General features: G+C 45.1%; 4 annotated features.

Moving 5' to 3' along the window:
* Positions 8,278-8,778: an enhancer, noted in NCBI's record as "H3K4me1 hESC enhancer chr3:136741910-136742410 (GRCh37/hg19 assembly coordinates)". NCBI's record gives its function as "activates a minimal SCP1, AML or CMV promoter by ChIP-STARR-seq in primed H9 embryonic stem cells {active_cell/tissue: H9 hESC(primed)}" and the evidence as "EXISTENCE:reporter gene assay evidence [ECO:0000049][PMID:30033119]".
* Positions 13,094-13,294: a silencer, noted in NCBI's record as "peak4841 fragment used in MPRA reporter construct". NCBI's record gives its function as "represses an SCP1 promoter by STARR-seq MPRAs in K562 erythroleukemia cells {active_cell/tissue: K562}" and the evidence as "EXISTENCE:reporter gene assay evidence [ECO:0000049][PMID:32103011]".
* Positions 17,590-18,456: an enhancer, noted in NCBI's record as "NANOG-H3K27ac hESC enhancer chr3:136751222-136752088 (GRCh37/hg19 assembly coordinates)". NCBI's record gives its function as "activates a minimal SCP1, AML or CMV promoter by ChIP-STARR-seq in naive H9 embryonic stem cells {active_cell/tissue: H9 hESC(naive)}" and the evidence as "EXISTENCE:reporter gene assay evidence [ECO:0000049][PMID:30033119]".
* Positions 17,939-18,008: an enhancer, noted in NCBI's record as "active region_20593". NCBI's record gives its function as "activates an Ori minimal core promoter by ATAC-STARR-seq in GM12878 lymphoblastoid cells {active_cell/tissue: GM12878}" and the evidence as "EXISTENCE:reporter gene assay evidence [ECO:0000049][PMID:35858748]".

The following is a 22,069-nucleotide window of genomic DNA, read 5'->3' on the forward strand; positions in this document are numbered from 1 at the left end:
GAGGAAGAACTGAGCAAGGAGCCTTCTCAGGTGCCTGCAAACATCTCCAAGAGCAAAAGTATAAATCCTCATATTGTGGAGGAGGTACATGTTCCTGGTTCCTTCACTGGACCTCACTGAGAAAATTAAACAAACAACAACAACAACAACTACGTTAAAAAACAACCCCACAAAAACAAAAAAACAAAAACAAAAAAAACCCTGGTGGCCGGGCGCGGTGGCTCACGCCTGTAATTCCAGCACTTTGGGAGGCCGAGGCGGGTGGATCACCTTAGGTCAGGAGTTCGAGACCAGCCTGACTAACATGGTGAAACCCCGTCTCTACTAAAAATACAAAAATCAGCCGGATGTAGTGGCAGGCGCCTGTAATCCCAGCTACTCGGGAGACTGAGGCAGGAGAATCCCTTGAACCCGGGAGGCAGAGGTTGCAGTGAGCTGAGATCCCGCCATTGCACTCCAGCCTGGTCAACAGAGCGAGACTCCGTCTCAAACAAACAAACAAACAAAAAAACCATCCTGGCGTTTGGAGAAATGAGTGCCTGAACAAACCTCAGTAACTTCTAAATTTTGCCTCTGTACCTAAAACAGCTCCTCTAGGAAGTGGCCACATGCCTCCAAATTTCCTGGAGATGCCAGCCAGTCTTCTATGAAATTGCCTCAGTATAAGATTAGGCCTACAAAACATCATCTTGAGTTTCTGGCCCTAGGAGATCACAGCCCAGAAAGTAGGCCCCTCTGATGTCATCCCACCTGCATCAATCACGAGGACAAGCTTTCCCAGGTGAAATCATTTCATTGACATTAACTGCTCACTGTCTCACTTGAACTTTTTTTTTTTTTTTTTGAGATGGAGTCTTGCTCTGTCAACCAGGCTGGAGTGCAGTGGTGCTATCTTGGCTCACTGCAACCTCCGCTTCCCCGCTTCAAGCGATTCTACTGTCTCAGCCTCCTGGGTAGCTGGGATTACAGGCACCTGGCACCATGCCCAGCTAATTTTTGTATTTTTAGTAGAGACAGGGTTTCGCCGTGTTGGCCAGGCTGGTCTTGAACTCCTGACCTCAGGTGATCCGCCTGCCTCAGCCTCCCAAAGTGCTGGGATTACAGGCATGAGCCACTGCGCCCTGCCTCACTTGAACTTTTGAGTCTTGCAATTGGAAATAGATCAAAATGGAATAGTTTTCCCCTTTTCTTGGCCTCACCCCAGATCAGGCCTAGATTATGGAGGGCCAGTGAGGTGGAACGCTTACTGTGTGTTTTTGTTTTTGTTTTTGTTTTTAGACAGGGGTCTTGCTCTGTCACCCAGGCTGGAGTGCAGTGGCGTGATCTTAGCTCACTGCAACCTCCATCTCCCGGGTTCAAGCGTTTCTCCTGCCTCAGCCTCCCAAGTAGCTGGGATTACAGGCACCTGCCACCACACCTGGCTAGTTTTTGTATTTTTAGTAGAGACAACGTTTCCCAATGTTGCCCAGGCTGGTCTCGAACTCCTGGCTTCAAGTGATCTGCCCGCCTCGGCCTCCCAAAGTGCTGGGATTGCAGGCGTGAGCCACCGCCTGTGTTTTAAATGAAGAGTTTCAGTTTAGCTGATGGCAGCAAATAGAAGCTGAAATTTAAATACAAGTAACATTAAGTAACATCTCCCTCTGTTGCAACTTTGGGTTGACAAAGGCAAGGCTCAGGTTAAAGAACTGATAAAAACTTGGTCATGAGGTGTGGGTCTCATCATGTTGCTTAAAAACAAAAAGCCCAGCTTCCAGAGATGTGCATGGTGTTGATTGTGGCAGAGGGTATGAGAAAGTGGGGCCCACTCTTTTCTTTGGCTAATGACTCATTTAAAAACTCATTTGTCACCTAAAACATTTATTCCAAAATTGGGATTTTTAAATTAAATGCTATTTAAAACTTCAGAAAGGAATTAAAAACTTGATAATTGAAACAGGTGATATGTCAATTCACCTTTTAAATTCAAATAATATAGTTCAGAATAAATCATAAAATTTGGGAAGAATTTGGATTTCTTCACCAACACTAAATAGCTATTGCATAAGTGTGTGCTGTAATTGTAAACACTGGTGTATTTTACAAACTGGTTTTATTGGAATCCATGTAGTCTGAAAATTGTATGATTCTGTAAAAAAGTTTCCACTTGAACTTTCTGAGAACGGTTTAAAGGTGAAATAATCTGATACACTTCTCTGTCAATAAAAAATAAATCATGATATAATTGGACATATCTGCTCATGTGTTTTTTTTTTAGATGGAGTCTCTCTCTGTTGCACAGGCTGGAGTGTGGTGGCACCATCATGACTCACTGCAACCTCCATCTCCTGGGTTCAAGCAATTCTCCTGCCTCAGCCTCCAGAGTAGCTGGGATTACAGGTGCTTATGTATTTTTTTTTCTTTTTCTTTTTTTCATTATACTTTAAGTTCTAGGGTACATGTGCACAACGTGCAGGTCTGTTACATATGTATACATGTGCCATGTTGATGTGCTGCACCCAGTAACTCGTCATTTAACATTAGGTATATCTCCTAAAGCTATCCCTCCCCCCTTCCCCCACCCCACAACAGGCCCCCAGTGTGATGTTCTCCTTCTGTGTCCAAGTGTTCTCATTGTTCAATTCCCACCTATGAGTGAGAACATGTGGTGTTTGGTTTTTTGTCCTTGTGATAGCTTGCTGAGAATGATGGTTTCCAGCTTCATCCATGTCCCTACAAAGGACATGAACTCATCCTTTTTCATGGCTGCATAGTATTCCATGGTGTATATGTGCCACATTTTCTTAATCCAGTCTATCATTGATGGACATTTGGGTTGGTTCCAAGTCTTTGCTATTGTGAATAGTGCCTCAGTAAACATACGTGTACATGTGTCTTTATAGCAGCATGATTTATAATCTTTTGGGTATATACCCAGTAATGGGATTGCTGAGTCAAATGGTATTTCTAGTTCTAGATCCTTGAGGAATCGCCACACTGTCTTCCACAATGGTTGAACTAGTTTACAGTCCCACCAACAGTGTAAAAGTGTTCCTATTTCTCCACATCCTCTCCAGCACCTGTTGTTTCCTGACTTTTTAATGATTGCCATTCTAACTGGTATGAGATGGTATCTCATTGTGGTTTTGATTTGCATTTCTCTGATGACCAGTGATGATGAGCATTTTTTCACGTGTCTGTTGGCTGCATAAATGTCTTCTTTTGAGAAGTGTCTGTTCATATCCTTTGCCCACTTTTTGATGGGGTTATTTGTTTTTTTCTTGTAAATTTGTTTGAGTTCTTTGTAGATTCTGGATATTAGCCCTTTGTCAGATGGGTAGATTGCAAAAATTTTCTCCCGTTCTGTAGGTTGCCTGTTCACTCTGATGGTAGTTTCTTTTGCTGTGCAGAAGCTCTTTAGGTTAATTATATCCCATTTGTCAATTTTGGCTTATGTTGCCATTGCTTTTGGTGTTTTAGACATGAAGTCCTTGTCCATGCCTATGTCCTGAATGGTATTGCCTAGGTTTTCTTCTAGGGTTTTTATGGTTTTAGGTCTAACATTTAAGTCTTTAATCCGTCTTGAATTAATTTTTGTATAAGGTGTAAGGAAGGGATCCAGTTTCAGCTTTCTACATATGGCTAGCCAGTTTTCCCAGCACCATTTATTAAATAGGGAATCCTTTCCCCATTTCTTGTTTTTGTCAGGTTTGTCAAAGATCAGATGGTTATAGATGTGTGATATTATTTCTGAGGGCTCTGTTCTGTTCCTTGGTCTATATCTCTGTTTTGGTACCAGTACCATGCTGTTTCGGTTACTGTAGCCTTGTAGTATAGTTTGAATAGTGATGCCTCCAGCTTTATTCTTGCTTTGTTCTTTTGGCTTAGGATTGACTTGGCGATGCGGGCTCTTTTTTGATTCCATATGAACTTTAAAGTAGTTTTTTCCAGTTCTGTGAAGAAAGTCGTTGGTAGCTTGATGGGGGTGGCATTGAATCTATAAATTACCTTGGGTAGTATGGCCATTTTCATGATATTGATTCTTCCTATCCATGAGCATGGAATGTTCTTCCATTTGTTTGTATCCTCTTTTATTTCATTGAGCAGTGGTTTGTAGTTCTCCTTGAAGAGGTCCTTCACATCCCTTGTAAGTTGGATTCCTAGGTATTTTATTCTCTTTGAAGCAATTGTGAATGGGAGTTCACTCATGATTTGGCTCCCTGTTTGTCTGTTATTGGTGTATAAGAATGACTGTGATTTTTGCACATTGATTTTGTATCCTGAGACTTTGCTGAAGTTGCTTATCAGCTTAAGGAGATTTTGGGCTGAGACAATGGGGTTTTCTAGATATACAATCATGTCATCTGCAAACAGGGACAATTTGACTTCCTCTTTTCCTAATTGAATACCCTTTATTTCTTTCTCCTGCCTGATTGCCCTGGCCAGAACTTTCAACACTATGTTGAATAGGAGTGGTGAGAGAGGGCATCCCTGTCTTGTGCCAGTTTTCAGAGGGAATGCTTCCAGTTTTTGCCCATTCAGTATGATATTGGGTGTGGGTTTGTCATAAATAGCTCTTATTATTTTGAGATACATCCCATCAATACCTAATTTATTGAGAATTTTTAGCATGAAGGATTGTTGAATTTTGTCAAAGGCCTTTTCTGCATGTATTGAGATAATCATGTGGTTTTTGTCTTTCGTTCTGTTTATATGCTGGATTACGTTTATTGATTTGCGTATGTTGAACCAGCCTTGCATCCCAGGGATGAAGCTGAGTTGATCGTGGTGGATAAGCTTTTTGATGTGCTGCTGGATTCGGTTTGCCAGTATTTTATTGAGGATTTTTGCACTGATGTTCATCAGGGGTATTGGTCTAAAATTCTCTCTTTTCTTTTTATTGTGTCTCTGCCAGGCTTTGGTATCAGGATGATGCTGGCCTCATAAAATGAGTTAGGGATGCTTATGTATTTTTAATTTAAACTTTATTGAAGTATATCTGGTTGTATTGTTATGGCATTTTCATTTCACCTTGGGAAGTTTGAATTTTCTATAGAGTTAAGGTAGTTGGTAATTGTGTTTTCCAAAGACTTCTGAGAATTTGGAAATCTACACTCTATTGGTCTGTAATTAAAATAAGGATGACAGCAATATATATGAAGCAAAGTCTACATTTTTATTCATAAGTCAAAAGAGAGTTTGGGCCAAAATCTTAAGATACTGCATTTATAGCTACTATTCTTGGCTAATCATAAAGAATCTGATCCTCCTGTGAGAAAATAAAAAACTTTGGTTCTGGGTCAAGAAACTACTGATTGGGAGAACCATTTTGATTTTTCACTGAAAATCTTGATGTAATAACACATACCTGATATATTAGGTTGGTAAGGGGGTGTAGAATATTATAAAAGGAGGGAGAGCCTATAGCTCATAAAAAGGAGCAAGATAAATTAAAAGCTTGGAAGATAAGAACAGAATTAAAAAGAAAAAGAAAAAAACAAACAAACTCCTAAACCTGTGAAAGTAACATGGGTTTGATAGATAAAATGTCAGGGGCAAAACTGGCTAATTCAGCCAGAAATCATGTGTGCCAATCTGGATTATACCCATGTATTAAACCATTGTAGATGGAGAAACACAACCGTCATGCAGAATATTGGCCACTGCGCTGCTGGAGGCTCCTCTATCACCTCACGGTAGGGAGGATCCCCTGTTTCCTGGTGGCTGCCAGTCACCCCCCTCTAGAGCTTTGGTCTGTCAGCTGTTCTGATGCCAGGGCTCTCAAACTGCAAACAAACGAGAACAGATGAGCCAAAGCTCTATACAGAGCCAAAGAGTCAGAGGTTATGAATGAGTTTAGAGCAAAGAGATTTTTAGCAAATCCTTAGTGGAATGCCGTCTAAAAATAAACAAAAAAGAACTATTAGAAAAGTTGAGCTGTATTTGATAATTGGAAAATTTGCATTAATGTTGTAATATTATTTTAGAACTAATTTTTCCAGACAAATAAGTGATCATTTATTTTGTTAGAAATCTAGACTTCTTAGCATAGGAGAAGAGGAACTACAATTGCAGAATCAAGAATTTGAGTAGGTGATGAATATTTCAATTACACTGATTTAATCTTTACCAGTGAGGTGAACGTATTAAATTATCACATGTACCCTGAAAATATGTACATCTATGACTTATCAATAAAAAATTAAAAAAAAATAAAACCAGAATGGCACTGATGTTTCAAACCAAGCAAAAAATACCTTAATGGAATTCATAAAACTAAAATTTCTAAAGAAAAACACTCTATCCCATAAATATGTACAATTATTATGTGTCAGCTAAAAATAAAAGAAAAAAGTAAAAAAATAATTTGATGAGGAACACTTTATTGTTAGAACTGGACTGAAAAAATCAAGATAAATTCAAGCTTTTAAAAGAACAAAAATAGTAAATTAAAAATACGTATCCTTTGTCTCTCTGTCTATTGAAATGCCCAGGAGCCATGTCACCTCACAATGCACTTTGGCACCCACATTCTGGTCTCTAATGCTCTTCTTACCAAAAGCGTCTTGGGAGGAATGGCATATTCCATACTTTGAGCTGGAAATTCAAGGAAATCCTAAACACTGAACAACAAGGCCAGAAATCAAGAAAGTTTGAATAAATTAGTAGAGTCAAAAGGACAGAGGAGCCATCTAAAAGGGGTTCTGCTGGCCAAAGTTGAGGCAACTTGAATGTCAAAAGGAGAGTATCGGCTGAAGCCAATGGGCATATGGTGGATTGGAGAAGCCATGAGTCCAAGATGATACATAAAAGGAGCAAAAGACTACGAGTAGTAAGAGAAAATGGAGAAAAAAACAGAGGATTTGTCAGCCAGGCGCGGTGGCTCACACCTGTAATCCCAGCACTTTGGGAGGCCGATGAGGGCAGATCACGACGTCAGGAGATCGAGACCATCTTGGTTAACACGGTGAAACCCCGTCTCTACTAAAAATACAAAAAATTAGCCGGGCGTGGTGGTGGGCTACCCGGGAGGCTGAGGCAGGAGAAAGGCGTGAACCTGGGAGGCAGAGCTTGTAGTGAGCCAAGATCACGCCACTGCACTCCAGCCTGGGCGACAGAGTGAGACTCTGTCTCAAAAAAAAAAAAAAAGAGGATCTGCCAAGTCATTTACATGTTGGCATGTTGGTATTATGTTGGTGTTAGTGATTCGTCTGTTGTGTAGATGAAGAAAACAAAAACTAGGAAACACAAATACATCAGTCAGAAGAAGTTGTATAGCTCAAGGGGAGTATGAGTGGAATGACCCTGTAAGTTGCGACTTTGAGTCACACAATGCCACATAAAATATCACAATTAAATTGGGAAACTGATTATACTCTTGCACTAGAAGGACCCATAACACTGATGCTTAGGAATTGAAGTTTGATGGATTCCGGCTGCTGGCTGGTGGTCAGTCCCCCTCATTTCTTAGTGCATGGGGATCGTTAAGTTAATAGTAAAAGTCCTGCTGAAAAAAAATTTTTCCACAACATTGATCAAAAAGAAAATTCTCTTTCAAGAAATAAATTAACTCAAACTTCATAATAAGCCTGTACAAAGCTGACAAACTGGGCAATAAGTGTCATTAATTCCAAGAGTATTTAAGTATTTAACTTCAGTCAGAGCACGAACACACTCACACACATACATACACACATACGTATACACACATACACACATACATATACACACATACACATACACACATACAAATACACACATACACATATACACACATTCACACTCATACATAAATACATACATATATAAATGTACACATATATAAACACACTTATACATCAATACACACATATACACACATGCAAGTATACACACACACACACATACACACGCACACTTTGAAATGCCCTGAAAACTTACAGTTCATATTGTTAACTTATTTAAAAAACGCCAAAATTTATAAATTTAGAAAAGGAGAGATCTTTTGGATCAACATGTAGAAATGAGATTCGGACTCAAAAAAAAGTTTTCAATAGGACTTTTCTAAATTTCTTATAAAAGGTTACAGCTTGCAAGGTGGCCATCCCACAGGCTGGAAAGCCTGCCTCTGGCCAAGACCAGAGACAGGCACTTTGAAGAAGGAGGGGTTGGGATAGGAGCTTTATGCTGAAAGGATTGGCTAAACACACATGTTCCACAGTTACAGGTTCAAGCGATTCTCCTGCCTCAGCCTCCTGAGTAGCTGGGATTACAGGTGCACCACTATGCCTGGCTAATTTTTTTGTATTTTTAGTACAGACCGGGTTTCACCATGTTGGCCAGGCTGGTCTCGAACTCCTGGCTTCAAGTGATCTGCCCGCCTCAGCCTCCCACAGTGCTGGGATTACAGGCTGCCCTGCATTCTTACTGCTATGCTGTTCCCTGTTCTTTCTCAGGGAAGAAGGTCCTCACTGATCCCCTTCCAACCCAGCCCCTGAGCTTCGTGACCTTCCCAGCTCCAGGTTTCCACCAGTAACCAGTTTCTGGATCTGGGCCCCTTGGTTCAAATTCTTTTGAAAGAGAATCTGTTTGAGCCAGCTCATGGGTTGATGTCTGTCCTGGGTCTAGATAATTTTGGCTTAGAGGGCAGGGCCAAAAGCAAAGGAGGATCTGAGGAACGGAGACAAGCCTGGTGGCTGCCACTATCCAGGCAAGGGCTCCCAGAGGGAGCATGGACAGACCTGTGGTCAGGGCCAGCTTCATGGCATGTGGCCAGTGCAGTTGCACTCTGAGCTCACAAGGCTCCCGCCCCCTTGGATTTTAGTGCTCTGTGGTTACTGTTTCGAAATTCTTAATTTTACCTTTGAATTTGTGTTTTGTAAGTGAAGTCCAATGGGACAATGCAGTGTGCCAGGGGCTTGGAGGCTCAGCTGACATGTGGGCCCACCTTGCACTGCCTCCTTGGCATGGGTTCTCAGCCACCCGCTCCCCTGCCCCTGGCTCCGTGTGTGACTGACCTCCTCTTCCCTGCCTCCACCCCAGGACCATTGCTGCTCTCCACCTCTGCAGGGGCCTAGGTGGGGGCTCAGAGACTGCTGGGTGCTCACACTTTGTGATGTCTTGGGGCATGGCATGGTGGTAGCTGTCTTTACTTCAGGCTGGCATTGCTATGATGTGTCTGCGCCTCTCCCTACCCCCTATCCAGGTACCAAGTGCATCTCAGCATGGAGGTTTAGAGATCCCTGGGGATCAGCCTTATGCTGTGTGTTGGGGCTGTGAGTCTGTGGGAAGTGGAGGCACCTGCTTGAGTTTTCCAGGCCCTACCCCCAGGTGAGACTAGGGGCACTGGCTGGCTGGTGGGAGGTGGAACCCACAGGCAGGCAGTGTGCATATGCATGTGCGCTGTGTCACAGGGTGGCCCTGTGCCTGGGGAATCCTCCCTTCCTCCTTCTTTTTATTTATTTTTTATTTTTTTTGAGACAGAGTCTCACTGTGTCACCCAGGCTGGAGTGTAGTGGCATCATCTTTGGCTCACTGCAACCTCTGCCTCCTGGGTTCATGCAATTCTCCTGCCTCAGCCTCCTGAGTAGCTGGGGCTACAGGCGCTTGCCACCACGCTCGGCTAATTTTTGTATTTGTAGAAGAGACAGTGTTTCACCATGTTGGCCAAGCTGGTCTTGAACTCCTGACCTCAGATGATCCACTGGCCTTCGCCTCCCAAAGTGCTGGGATTACAGGAGTGAGCCACCATGCCCAGTCCTCTCTTCCTCTTTCTATACTTCCCTGAGTCTGCCTTGGGTGTGCCTCTTCTGGCCAGCTCATGGCACCCTCTGGGGACAAGCCATGAAGGAAGAACTGTGCAATTTCGGTGATTCTGCACCAGCTAAATGCTCTGGTATTTGCATTTAAAATTGTCATTGCACACTATAAAATGAGCAGCAAAGAGACTGTACTAACAGTTTTAATTTTTTGACTTTTTTTCACTTAGAATACCATTAAACAGCAAATAATAATTAAAAAACCCACCATGACAATCCTAGAAAGAGATCACAAAAGAAAGGAAAAAGCTTTCCATGCACCTTTAATGACACTTTTTCTACTTCATGCATGAGGGGCCTCACAATGTACCTAGCTTGTGCTCAATGTGTGCAGCCAATGAAGGAAACGGAGGAGTCCAGGGCCGTGGGGCAAGGATGATGAGTTTGTGTTGGGATGTGTTGGGTTTGGGGTGCTGGATGTCTGGAAGGCTGTAGGTGTAGCAATCCCAGCACAGGTGATTAGCAGCATTTTATGCCGCTCAGAGAGGAGGCCCCTGGGTTTGGTAGGAGAGCTGTGTTAATAGTGGGCAGCTGCGTGTCCCACTGAGGAGTGGAGGGGTGGCAGCCCACTCCTTCCAAAAGCATGGATGCAGGAGGGAAGCACCAAGGAGAGCAAGTCAAGGTTGGCTGGAGTAGGGGATCTCAGCATGCTAGAGTCAACTGGGGAGCATTACAAAGGGCAGATGCCTGTGCCTCGCTCCGGATCATTTGAAGAAAAATCTCCTGGGGTGGGTGTGGTCATCTGCCATTCAAAAAATCACAAACACATACACAAACAAAAAGGCAATAAGAAATGGAAAACAGCTCTGGGTTGTGCAGAAGGATGGTGGGTTCCGAAGCATCAGGATGAGGCTGCTCTTGTTTAGAGATGCGTTTTGGTCCTGGTGTAGCTGGTTTCTTGCTGTGTGACCTTGGACAGTTCACTGTCACTTTTCTCACCCTTATTTTCTGTCCCAGTGAACAAGGAGCTTGGACCAGATTGTTGTGGAGGGGCACTGGGCTCTGACTGTCTGTGGGGACAGGGGTCTCTTTACCTGTCCATGCTGCAGGCCTTCCTTACTCCCCACAGCCCTGGTCTGCTGTGGGCCCAGCACCAGCCCTTCTCATCCTGCCCAGAAAAATGGACACTTCTCCATAAGAGCTGATGTAGTGGGGACCAGCTCAACATTCTGGAGAGTCACAGTGCCAGAGGAAGCGGAGCAGAGGGACTGGCAGTGTGGCTTCCAGACTCAAACTACCCATGTTCTGACTCGATCACTTAAAAGTTATGTGACCTTGGACAAATTCCTTGGCCTCTCTGAGCTTTGATTCCTCACCTGGAAAATGGAGCAAATAACAACATTTCCCACATTAGGATAGGGAGAGGATTAAATGAGACAAGCGTGCAATGTTCTTAGTGCTGTGGCGGGGGTACAGTCAGCACTCAGTGATTCCAGCCGACTGGAACTGACTGTAATCCAGCCTTGCTGCTTGGCCACTTGCTCTGCTTTCAGACAGGGTGATCTGTGGGTTCTGAGGCTTGTGGGCTACACTAGATGGGCTGCTTCCATGCCAGACTAATACAGTTCCCGAAACATCCAGGTTACCTCCTGGGGTGTAGACTCCCCATCTGCCCCAGTGAGCTGTGCCCAGGCCCCTCTTCTTGCCCCTCTTACCTGAATTGGCTGTTGGAGCTTCCAGGCTTGGGAAGCTCAAGCCAGGCTGGGTTGGTGGTGTAGCCATAGGAGAGAGCAGGAGCTTGTGAGCAGCACCACTGAGGCCCAGAGTCTTCTGAGCCCTTTAGGGCAGAAGGGAGAGTCTGGTCTATGTGATACCAGCATTTACACCTGAGATTCTTATCCAAAAGTCCTGTGTCCACAGTCAAGCCTCTGGGGTGAGAAGGAGGGCTTAGGGAGGCCTCTGGCATGGTGGCTTCTTAGAATATTGAGCCAGACTCTCCAACATCAGTTCTCTTGGAGAGGTGTCCACTCTTCTGGGCAAGACAGGCGAGAGAGGGAGGGATTCCTGCCAAAGCCACTAATAAACAAATTCCTCCCATCACTGAGTGAAGATGTTGCCACTTTGGAAATGGGCTTGTCCACTCTGTTGGAAGGCTGAGATGTCCTGGTGGCTGGGGCCTACATCTTGCTCAATAGTGTCTGAGACATGACTGGAAGACATCTGCTCAAGATGGTGGAGTGAGCACACATCAAACCCTCTCTGTAACTGCCTCGAAACCTGGAGGAATGATGGGGACACACACATACTCTTTCTTTCCCTCTCTCTCCGTACTAAGAATGAAGAGTAAACTTACAGGATAAGCTGGTTAAGAGTAGCCCAGGGGTAGAAGGAGTTGGATATACATAGGCTGGCTTTAAAGCTTATGTGAGAATGGGGATGAACATGCCTATGCTTGGCAGGAGACCCGACCCATGCTCCCTCCATGTAGCTGGGGTTGAAAACACTCCAGAAATGTGCTGCTTGCTCATGGTGCAGGAAGAAAAGGGCACTGATGTAAATATGAGAACCAGGCTGGTGCTGCACATGGGTGCTGCATCAGAAATATTTTTGGCTGAGAACCAACACCCCAAACTCTATAACATGAGACCTGCTCCTGGGTGTGCAAATCAGGAAGAAAGGGCTCAGGCAACCGCAAAAGCACCTAACGTGGAAGAGTCTGTCCATCAAAAAAGAATTCCCACGCAGAATGAGCTATAAAACAAAAATTGCAAAGGACATGTCAAAATTTATCATGAGGCATACTTCTCAGGCTTAAGAAGCAAAATTAATAACAGGAGAGGTGGAAATTATGAACCATTTGAAAGGATGATAATTAGTCTCACAGAAAGTCTCTCATCCTCCCTTAAAATTTGTCTAGTTGGGGGCAGTATTTCCCCTACCAGTGGATGACTTTCTGATCATTCCTGGGTAATAAAATGCTTGGTAGTCACATGAAACCATGGTTTCAATTCACGTTAAAATAGTCTATTCCCAGATAGGAAAATAGTCTGAACTTTTTTTTTTTTTTTTTTTTTTTTTTTTTTGAGACAGGGTCTTACTCTGTTGCCCAGACTGGAGTGCTGTGGCAGGATCACGACTCACTGCAGCCTTGACCTCCTGGGCTCAAGTGATTTATCCTGCCTCAACCTTCCAGCAGTTGGTACTACAGGTACGTGCCACTGCACCAGCTAAATTTTGTATTTCTTGTAGAGACAGGGTTTTGCCATGTTGCCTAGGCTGGTCTTGAGCTCCTGAGCGCAGGTGACCCACCTGCCTCAGCCTCCCAACGTGCTGGGATTACAGGCATGAGCCACCACACCCGGCCCACTTTAAACTCTTGTAAAAGATAAAGCCTCTTTGGTCTCTAGCAAGGAGCTTTCTTACTTCAGGGAGGGGTGTGGTCAGCTTCTCTTTTTTTCCTCCTCCTCCTTTATCTGTTGCTGTTGTGCACCCACCTGGGATTGGAGTTCCAGAAGGGGAGAGGGATTGCAGCACTGTTCACAAGAGCCAAGATTCAGAAGCAACCTGAGTGTCCATCAACAGACAAATGGATAAAGAAAATGCGGCACATACAGACAATGGAGTACTATCAACCATAAAAATGAGTGAGAGCCTGTCATTTGCAACAACATGGATGGAATTGGCGGTCATTATGTTAAGTGAAAGAAGCCAGGCACAGAAAGACAAACTTTGCATGTTCTCACTCGTCTGTGGGGACTAAAAATTAAAACAATTGAAGTCATGGAGATAGAGCATGGAAGGATGGTTACCAGAGGCTGAGGAGGGCAGTGAGAAAAAGTGGGGATGCTTAATGGGTACAAAAATAGAGTCAGATAGAATTAATAAGATCTAGTATGTGATAGCACAATGAGGTGACTACAAGTCAACAATAATTTATTGAATATTTTAAAATAACCAAAAGAGTATAATTGGAATGTTCATAACACAAAGAGATACATGCTTGAGGTGATGGAAACCCCATTGACCCTGATGTGGTTATTACACATTGTATGCTTGTATCAAAACATCTCATGTACCCCATAAATATATACACCTACTATGTATCCATAAAAATTAAAAGAAAAAAGAAAGGAAGAAGGGAACTGGGCTCAGGAAGGTCTTACTTGATTGGAACAGTTGAAGGCTGGTTTTGGCTCTCTGGGCCCTGTTGAGGTTTAAAGCTGATTCTTTCTCCTATGGGCACTTTTGTGAGTTTTTTGTAGGCATCCCTGCTGAAACTCAGACTGTCACTCCTATGATGTAGGCAACACATTTTTTTTAAAACTTTATTCCTTAGCCTCCGGTTTTCCTAGACGCCGCCTTCCACTCTGCATTGCAGGCTGTTTGGCTTCCTCAAGGTGAGCCAGGCTCCCACCTTCTTTCTTCCTTAGTGGCAGGGACACAAACCAAGCTGTCTGCATGGGACCCTAAGCTTGGGGCTAAGAGGTCATCTGCTCCATTCCACCCTTTCCCTGGGGCCATGAGACTCAGAGGGCTTCAACAGCTCTCTTCAAAGACATCCTCTTCACATGTCCTTGGAAATGTCTAACAACTCAGTCCTTTTCATATGCTTTCAAAAGGTGGCAGGCATGATTTTTAAATATGACTTTTAGTCTGGGTGTGGTGGCCCACACCTGTAATCCTAGCAGTTTTGGAAGCTGAGGCAGATGGATTGCTTGAGCCCACGAATTCGAGACCAGCCTGGACGACATGGCAGAACCTCATCTCTACAAAAAATTAAAAAATTAGCCAGGTGTGGTGACATTCACCTATAGTCCTAGCTACTCAGGTGGCTGAGTGGGGAGGATCACCCAAGCCTGGGAGGTCGAGGCTACAATAAGCTGTAATCACACCACTGCACTCCATCCTGGGAGACAGAGTGAGACCCTGTCTTAAAAAAATTAGTTTTAAGGTTAACATTATGTTACATACTGAAATGGTAAGGAGGGAACGGTGTCCTTGCAATGAGAGCAGGATATTATTAAACAAAAATAGGCAGTCATGAAATATATTGCTATTGGAAATAAAAAAAAGACTGCAACAGGCAGGATAGACAACCGGTGAAAATAGCTGGTGAAAGATAAGTGAATTAAAAGATAGAAATGCTGGGCGCATTGGCGCCTGTCTGTAATGGGCTCACAGTGCATTGAAAGGCCAGAAGTTTGAGACCAGCCTGAGCAACATAGTGACACCCCATCTCTTAAAAATAAAAAAAAAATTAGCTGAATGATGACATGTACCTGTAGTCCCAGCTACTTGGGAGGCTGAAGTGAGAGGATTTGCTTGGGCCCAGGAGTTTGAAGTTGCAATAAGCTATGATCGTACCACAGCACTCCAGCCTGGGTGACAGAGTAAGACTGTTTCTTTCTTTCTTTCTTCTTTTTTTTTTTTGAGATGGAGTTTCACTCTTGTCGCCCAGGCTGTAGTGCAGTGGTGCAATCTCAGCTCACCGCAACCTCTGCCTCCCGGGTTCAAGTGATTCTCCTGCCTCAGCCTCCTGAGTAGCTGGGATTACAGGCACCTGCCACCATTCATGGCTAATTTTGTATTTTTAGTAGGGACGGGGTTTCTCCATGTTGATCAGGCTGGTCTCGAACTCCTGACCTCAGGTGATCTGCCTGCCTCAGCCTCCCAAAGTGCTGGGACCACAGGCATGAGCCATCGCACCCAGCCCTGTTTCAAAGAGAGAGAGAGAGAGAGAAAATGTACATAAAACATAGCACCAAAAGATGAAGAAATGGAAAATATGAATAAGAAGTTGAGAGCCATGGGAGATAGATTGAGGAATTCCAACACACATCCAAGAAGAGTTTCTGAATAAGAAAAATAGTGAGAACAGGGGAATGAAAATGAAATGTTTGCAGAGGTAATGGTTGAAAATTTCCATAATCAAAATAAAATTCCATTTCAGGAAAGTGCACTGATTGTGATGGGGTAAAGTAAGTAAAGTAACAAAATACCCAAATAATTCCTTCTGAACACTACCATGACTCAGAGGGAACAGAAAAAAAAGATCCAGCCTCAGTGAGGCTGTGAGCCCATGTCACACCTGATCACATTCCCATCAAGGGAAACACCTGGCTCTGAGTGTCTCCTCCCTTATTTTGGGCCCAGGGTAGCAGAGTGGAGGACATGTGATTGGAGTCTCCACAAATTTCTACTGCTTCCTTCTTTCTCCATTAAAGTTATTAAGCTGGACTTTTCTTCCATTAAATTAAAAAAAAAGAAAGAAAGAAAGAAAGAAAGAAAGAAAAGACTTTCTGCTGCTTCTGGTCCTCAGGCAGCTTCAGATGATCACAAGACACTTGTTATTTAGGGCTCAGACACATGGCACAGCACACGGCAGGCACTTATTTCAGGATTTCCCAAGCACTGGAACCTGGCTCCATGACTGGGGCCCTGCTGACTCCAGTCTTCTAGAAGAGGCAATGATGGGGACAGGGTGACGAGTGTGGAGACAGCAGTGCCTCATCTCCTGGGACATACTCTACTTGCTGTTCTGTGGCACAGCTTTCACAGGCTATGATTGCAAGAAGAGGAGGGGAAATAAGGTGTTGTTAATCTCCCAACCTCTAATATTTTTTTTTTCTTGAGACAGGGTCTTGATATGTCAGGCTGCAGGCTGAAGTATAGTGGCACAATCACGGCCCTCTTCAGCCTTGACCTCCCAGCTCAGCCTCCAGGTAGCTGGGACTACAGGTGCGCGCCACCATGCCTGTCTAATTTTTAAATTTATTGTAGAGGTGGGATCTCACTATATTGCCCAGGCTGGTCTCAAACTCCTGGGCTCAAGCAATCCTTCCACCTTAGCCTTCCAAAGTGCTGGGATTACAGATGTGAGCCATTGCATCCATCCTTAACCTCTAATCTTTAGACTAATTAAATCCATTTCCAAAAAAATACATGTTTATTGTAAAAACAATGTAAGCAATATGGAAAGATGTAAAACCAAAAGCTTCTCCCTTCTTTCTCTTGGTCTTATGCCCTGGGTGTGAACTCTGTTAATATTTGGTTTGTGTCCTTCACATCCTCTGTCTCTCATAGCTGGGATAATATGTGAGGTTTCACCAGTTATGGTCCTCCCATCCCACACTCCCTTTTCTCTGGATTCCTCCTCCAACCACCATTTGGGGAAGTAGATGCAAGATATCCATTGGTTATGGAAGCTGTCACAGTGGAATCAGTGAAGAATATGCCAAATTCTTGAGTTTTAAGATAAAAGTTCTCAACCCAGATATAAGATAGAAAAAAAACTGAGCAAACTGTATATTGGCTCAATCAGTTTTTTTCCCCCTCTTCCCAACCCCAGATTAGATAAAGCTGAGTTGAGGGAAGAGGTGAAATGGGGAGGAAGTAATGAGAAAAGCAGTCATGGTCTCCAAGAAGGGATATCCCTGTGTCCTCCTCTGGCGATTAGATGTAAAGAAGTATTGGAGGGTATTATCGAATTCTCCAGATAGAGTTTGGGGACTCAGGTGCAGAAGTGTCAGCGACAAACTTCCACTTGGAGGTCTGGGGAGCAGACACCTCTCCCTGAGACTGAGATATGAGGTAGATCTCTAAGCCTAGGAGCCAGGGTAAGAAAAAGAACACTTGTTAATTAACTAAACTTACATATAAAATGCCTGAATTTACCCGGAAATGACCATGACTAATTTTCTGCCATTATGAGGATTGGAGATTCCAAATAAAGGTAAAACTGTATAATGGAACAATAAAAAAGTTATATTATGTACACCCTACACTGCTTGAAAAATTTGTGCATCTATATATTTTGTATATCTATGCTATCTATTCCTCTTTTCCTTTTCTTCATGACCTGGCTTTATCCTGAGATGGATGAAAGAGCTATGATTTCAATTTCTCCTTCTCTTTGCTAAGTTAATATATTTGAACACGAATTGTTGGTTTGTCTATCACCAAAGAGCTGGTGAAAACAAAAATTTGTTTCCCACTCCGTCCTCTTCCCGGATACTTGGAGACAGCAGCGTCAGTGGCATTGTTTGGCGTCTCTGAACGCGGCTTTGGCAGAGCCCTCCGGAGCCAGCTGTAGTTCCCGGAGACGCCACTAGGTGACAATGTAGGTCTTGGTTGGTCAACTGCAGGCTACGGTTGATTTGGTTGGGTCCCAGCGGAGCCTTAGCGTCCTCTCCGGCAAAATAACAAATGTCCGTCGTGCAGGGCACTTTCTTCGGGAAGGACTCCTGGGAGCTCAGGAGTTTGCATACGAAGCCGAGGGAGCGAGGGGCTTCTGATAATGATATTCAGCGTCGAACAGAGTCGCTCATATGCAGAGCCGGAGTCTCTCCCAGCTTTGATATATGAGATTATTATGGAGAGTAATGCAGGCCGAGTGATGCTTGCTCGGCAGGCTGTGGATGTGGATTCCTATGTGGATTGCGAGGCCGGGCGCAACAGGGATGTCGCTTCCTAGGGACAAAGAGGGGTGAGGGGAGAGACGGCCAGGAACCAAGGACTGTCATAGGAGTGCCAGGCATCTCTGTCTGTTCTCAGCAACAATGGATTGGTCCTTTTCCCGGAGGTACAAGGGAGGCCAGTGGATGGGTGGATTAGCATTTGTCCCGAGTCCTGTAGTGGAAGGCAGTGCTCCCCCAGGCAGAGCCAACCCTTGGTGAGATGGCCATAGGGCTGCTACTCTGGACCCCTTATATGGAGGAGCTCTTCACTCCAGGGCTTTACAAAGTTGACCAAAGAGGAAAGGAAGACTGGGCGGGCACCGGAATGAGATCTCAGTGGAGGGTCCTCTGTTGGCAGTTGGGGGTGGTGCTGGTAGACACCCTAGAGAGGGTTGTTAACAGAATAGCCTTTCCTGTCTTCCTAGAGGTTCTGCCAAACTCTCCCACTGCTCATTCTAGTTTAGACTGGAACGTTGTTTTGTTTTTGTTTTAAGATTTTTTTTTTTGAAACACACCGTCAGTTTGGAATAAAAATTCTATCCTCTTGGTTTAGTGTTTCTACTCACTTGCATGAGTCCCGACGAGCTTCTACTACCAGGGTCATGAGAATCGCCCCTCAAAGCACTGTTCTGCCATGACAGAGGATTTACCTCTGGGCACCAAGCTGTGATCACTGCCAGCGCATCCCTGTCAAAGTCTGGTCCTGGACAGATAGATGCTTGCCCTCTGCAGTGAGAATTCTCACGCTCTCATTAAAGTTATTGACTCAGTTGATTCTCACTTGCTCAGCTGTTACCCTCAGAACCAGGCACAGGCTCTAGCCAAGGGCCCTGCCAGGTCCAGTTCTTCCCTCACAAACCCTCAGGTCCCAGACCTCAGATATTTGGTTAGAGCTTGGGTCCACACCCTCAATTAGGCTTTCCTGCCCACAGACCTGTCTGCCCTGACAACTTTCTTGGCCCCAAGTCTGGATGTTAGACCCTTTGCTCCCAGAAGACTCCAGCTCCTACCGCAAACTGTCCAACCCTTTTCCAGGTTCTGCAGATGTAGGGGCCTCAGGCAGGAGCATGCCTTCACAGCACCACAAAATCCTGTTACACTCCTCCAGGGCATCAGCAATAAGGTATTAAACGCCTTATATCCCTGGGGGCCTTAACATCCTCTGCCACTATGTGTATATGTAAAAATAATATAGGCCAGGTGTGGTGGCTCATGCCTGTAATCCCAGCTCTTTGGGAGGCCAAGGCGGGAGGATTGCCTGAGGTCAGGAGTTTGAGACCAGCCTGGCCAACATGGCGAAAACCCATCTCTACTAAAAATACAGAAATTAGCCGGGCGTAATGGCACACACCTGTAGTCCCAGCTACTCGAGCGGCTGAGGCGGGAGAATCCCTTGAACCGGGGAGGTGGAGGTTGCAGTGAGCCCAGATCGTGCTACTGCACTCCAGCCTGGGTGACATAGCGAGACTCCATCTCTTAAAAAAAAAAAAAAAAGCCTTAATTTGCATAACTAATAAGGTTTCCCCAAGGACTCTAAGGTGACTTGCTATCCTTAGCCAATGGACTAAGAGGCAGCCAGTGTAATTTGATTTTGGACTCCTTTTGTATCTAGTTATTTTGATTTTTGACAATTAGCTCATTATCTTTGTATTTGCAGATGTTCAAAGTAAAATCTCTAAATATCGACTCTTATTGATTGTTATGGGCTCAGTAGGCAGTCATGTCTGTTTTTTGTTTTGAGACAGAGTCTCACTCTGTTGCCCAGGCTGGAGTGCAGTGGCATGATCTCAGCTCACTGCAACCTCTGCCTCCCAAGCTCAGGTGATTCTCTTGCCTCAGGCTTCTGAGTGGCTGGGATTACAGGCATGTGCCACCATGCCTGGCTAATTTTTGTATTTTTAGTAGAGATGGGGTTTCACCATGCTGGCCAGGCTGGTCTCAAACTCCTGACCTCAGGTGATCCTCCCACCTCAGTCTCCCAAAGTGCTGGGATTACAGGTGTGAGCCACTGCGCACGACCCATCGTGTTGGTTTTTGAATGAAGGAGTGTGGCGTTGCTGGCGTGAGTGCTCTGTAGAAGACTGATTGCCAGTGTGGAGGGATGGGAGGGTGGAGGGGCTGCATGGCCTGTGCTTATTCTCCCTCTGGCTCTCCGGCTCTATCTCCTCTCATTTTCTCACCCTCTCTCATTCCCTGGCCTCTCCTTCCTGAGCCTGAGCCCTCAGCCTGTTTCTGGGGTCTTGATGTTGGGTCCCTTGCCCTGCCCCGTGTTCTTTGCCGCTACAATCTATAATGAATGGTGCACTTAAAACAACGTTAGGGTAGGAGAGGCTTCTTTCTGGGTCTGGGGCAAAACGCAGGCCTGATGGCACTGTCTGTGTGATACCACTCAATGTGCCTCCAGGCTCTAGCAGCTGAGGGCAAGGAAGAGGGTGTGTGAGGGGGGCATCGGGTTCCTGATTTAACTATTTTGTGCCCATTGTCATGTAGAAGGCAACATACATATGATTCACTGATTGGCAGACAGGCAGTTGGGGGATGGGATCAGCAGAAGGCGGGGGGATTAGGGAAGGCTGGAAATACATGAATGATGGGCCAGAGAGAATTCTGGAGGTCTGGCTCAAGCTCTGGGAAATGGCCAAGACTCTTTCCTAGCGTTCAGTCCTGTCCAGGACCCATTAACTGACACCCCCTGTGAAGGGTCTGAAGTCCAGAAGTGGAAAACATGCCAGTCATTAGGGTGAAAGCACAGTGAAGCCAGGAGAGGGGCGCACAGCAAGGTGCGAGATCCAGGGGGATCTGAGAGCAGCACCCACCTGAGTCCTCCCTCAGCCTTAGTGCATGTGGTTTGAAACTGGAGCTGTCAGAGTGCACCCTCTTGAGGCACATGATGGTACAGAACCCAGCCAGCCCTGATGGAGGACTCACTCCTTTGGAGGCTTACTCTCCCTGTGCTGAGACCCGCCTGTTGGGGCCTCCTGACAGGCGCCTTTCTACGCCTTGTGAGGTCCCCTTTTCTCAGTACCAATTCTAGTCTGGGCTATTCTCAGGCATGGGGGCTCAGGCAGAGCTCAAGTGAGGTCCCCGGCCTGCGCCTCAGCTGCTGTCAGGAGGAAGAAGCCCTGAAATGTGTTGAGCGGGCTGACTAGAGTGCATTGTGCACAGACCATCAGAGTGCGAAGGGTGTCACTGCCAGTTAGTCACTCCAGGTCTCTCACAGATGAGGACACTGAGGCCCAGAGAGATGGGGGCTCTCAACTCGCCTGGGCTTCTTCAGCCCCATGGGCTCCTGGGGCCGACCCTGGCTGCCCTGACTGATTTCATCACTGCTCATCATCTACATTTCTGCCTTCCTGGATCCAGAAAAATGGGAAACAATGTATTGTTCCACTGCTTTCTGAACACCTCCAAAACAGTTTCGCACGACTCTGAACTCCCCAGGGAGGGGAGGGTCTTCACAGGAGGACAGGAACTGTTCCCCACCATTGTAGCTGGGGCTCACTCCATGGCACCGTAGGCTTCTGCTGAAGCAAACACTAGGTGGGACTGCCTGGGTTTCCCTAGACTGATCAGTTCCTGGATGTTAAAGAAGAAACAGCCCAGGGATGACGATGGCACTTTCTGTCCCCACTTCTCCCCTCCCTACCCTCTGCAAAGCGGGCTCATAAACAAAACTTTCTTTTTTTTTGGGGGGGGGGGCAAAAAAGCCCACCCACTTCCATACATTTAAAAACAGCAAAATTGAGGCAGAATCATAACAGACAGTATTTAACTAGTTCATTCGCCTCAGGCCTAATGGCCTAGAAGTGCTGCTGAATCATCCTGAACTATGGAAAACTCCATTCTGAAAAACCCACACATTTGACTAAAGCATAGTTGATGTTCCAGTTTTATACATCA

The sequence above is a fragment of the Homo sapiens genome, chromosome 3 (genome assembly GCF_000001405.40).
Source record: "Homo sapiens chromosome 3, GRCh38.p14 Primary Assembly".
Classification (NCBI taxonomy): domain Eukaryota; kingdom Metazoa; phylum Chordata; class Mammalia; order Primates; family Hominidae; genus Homo; species Homo sapiens.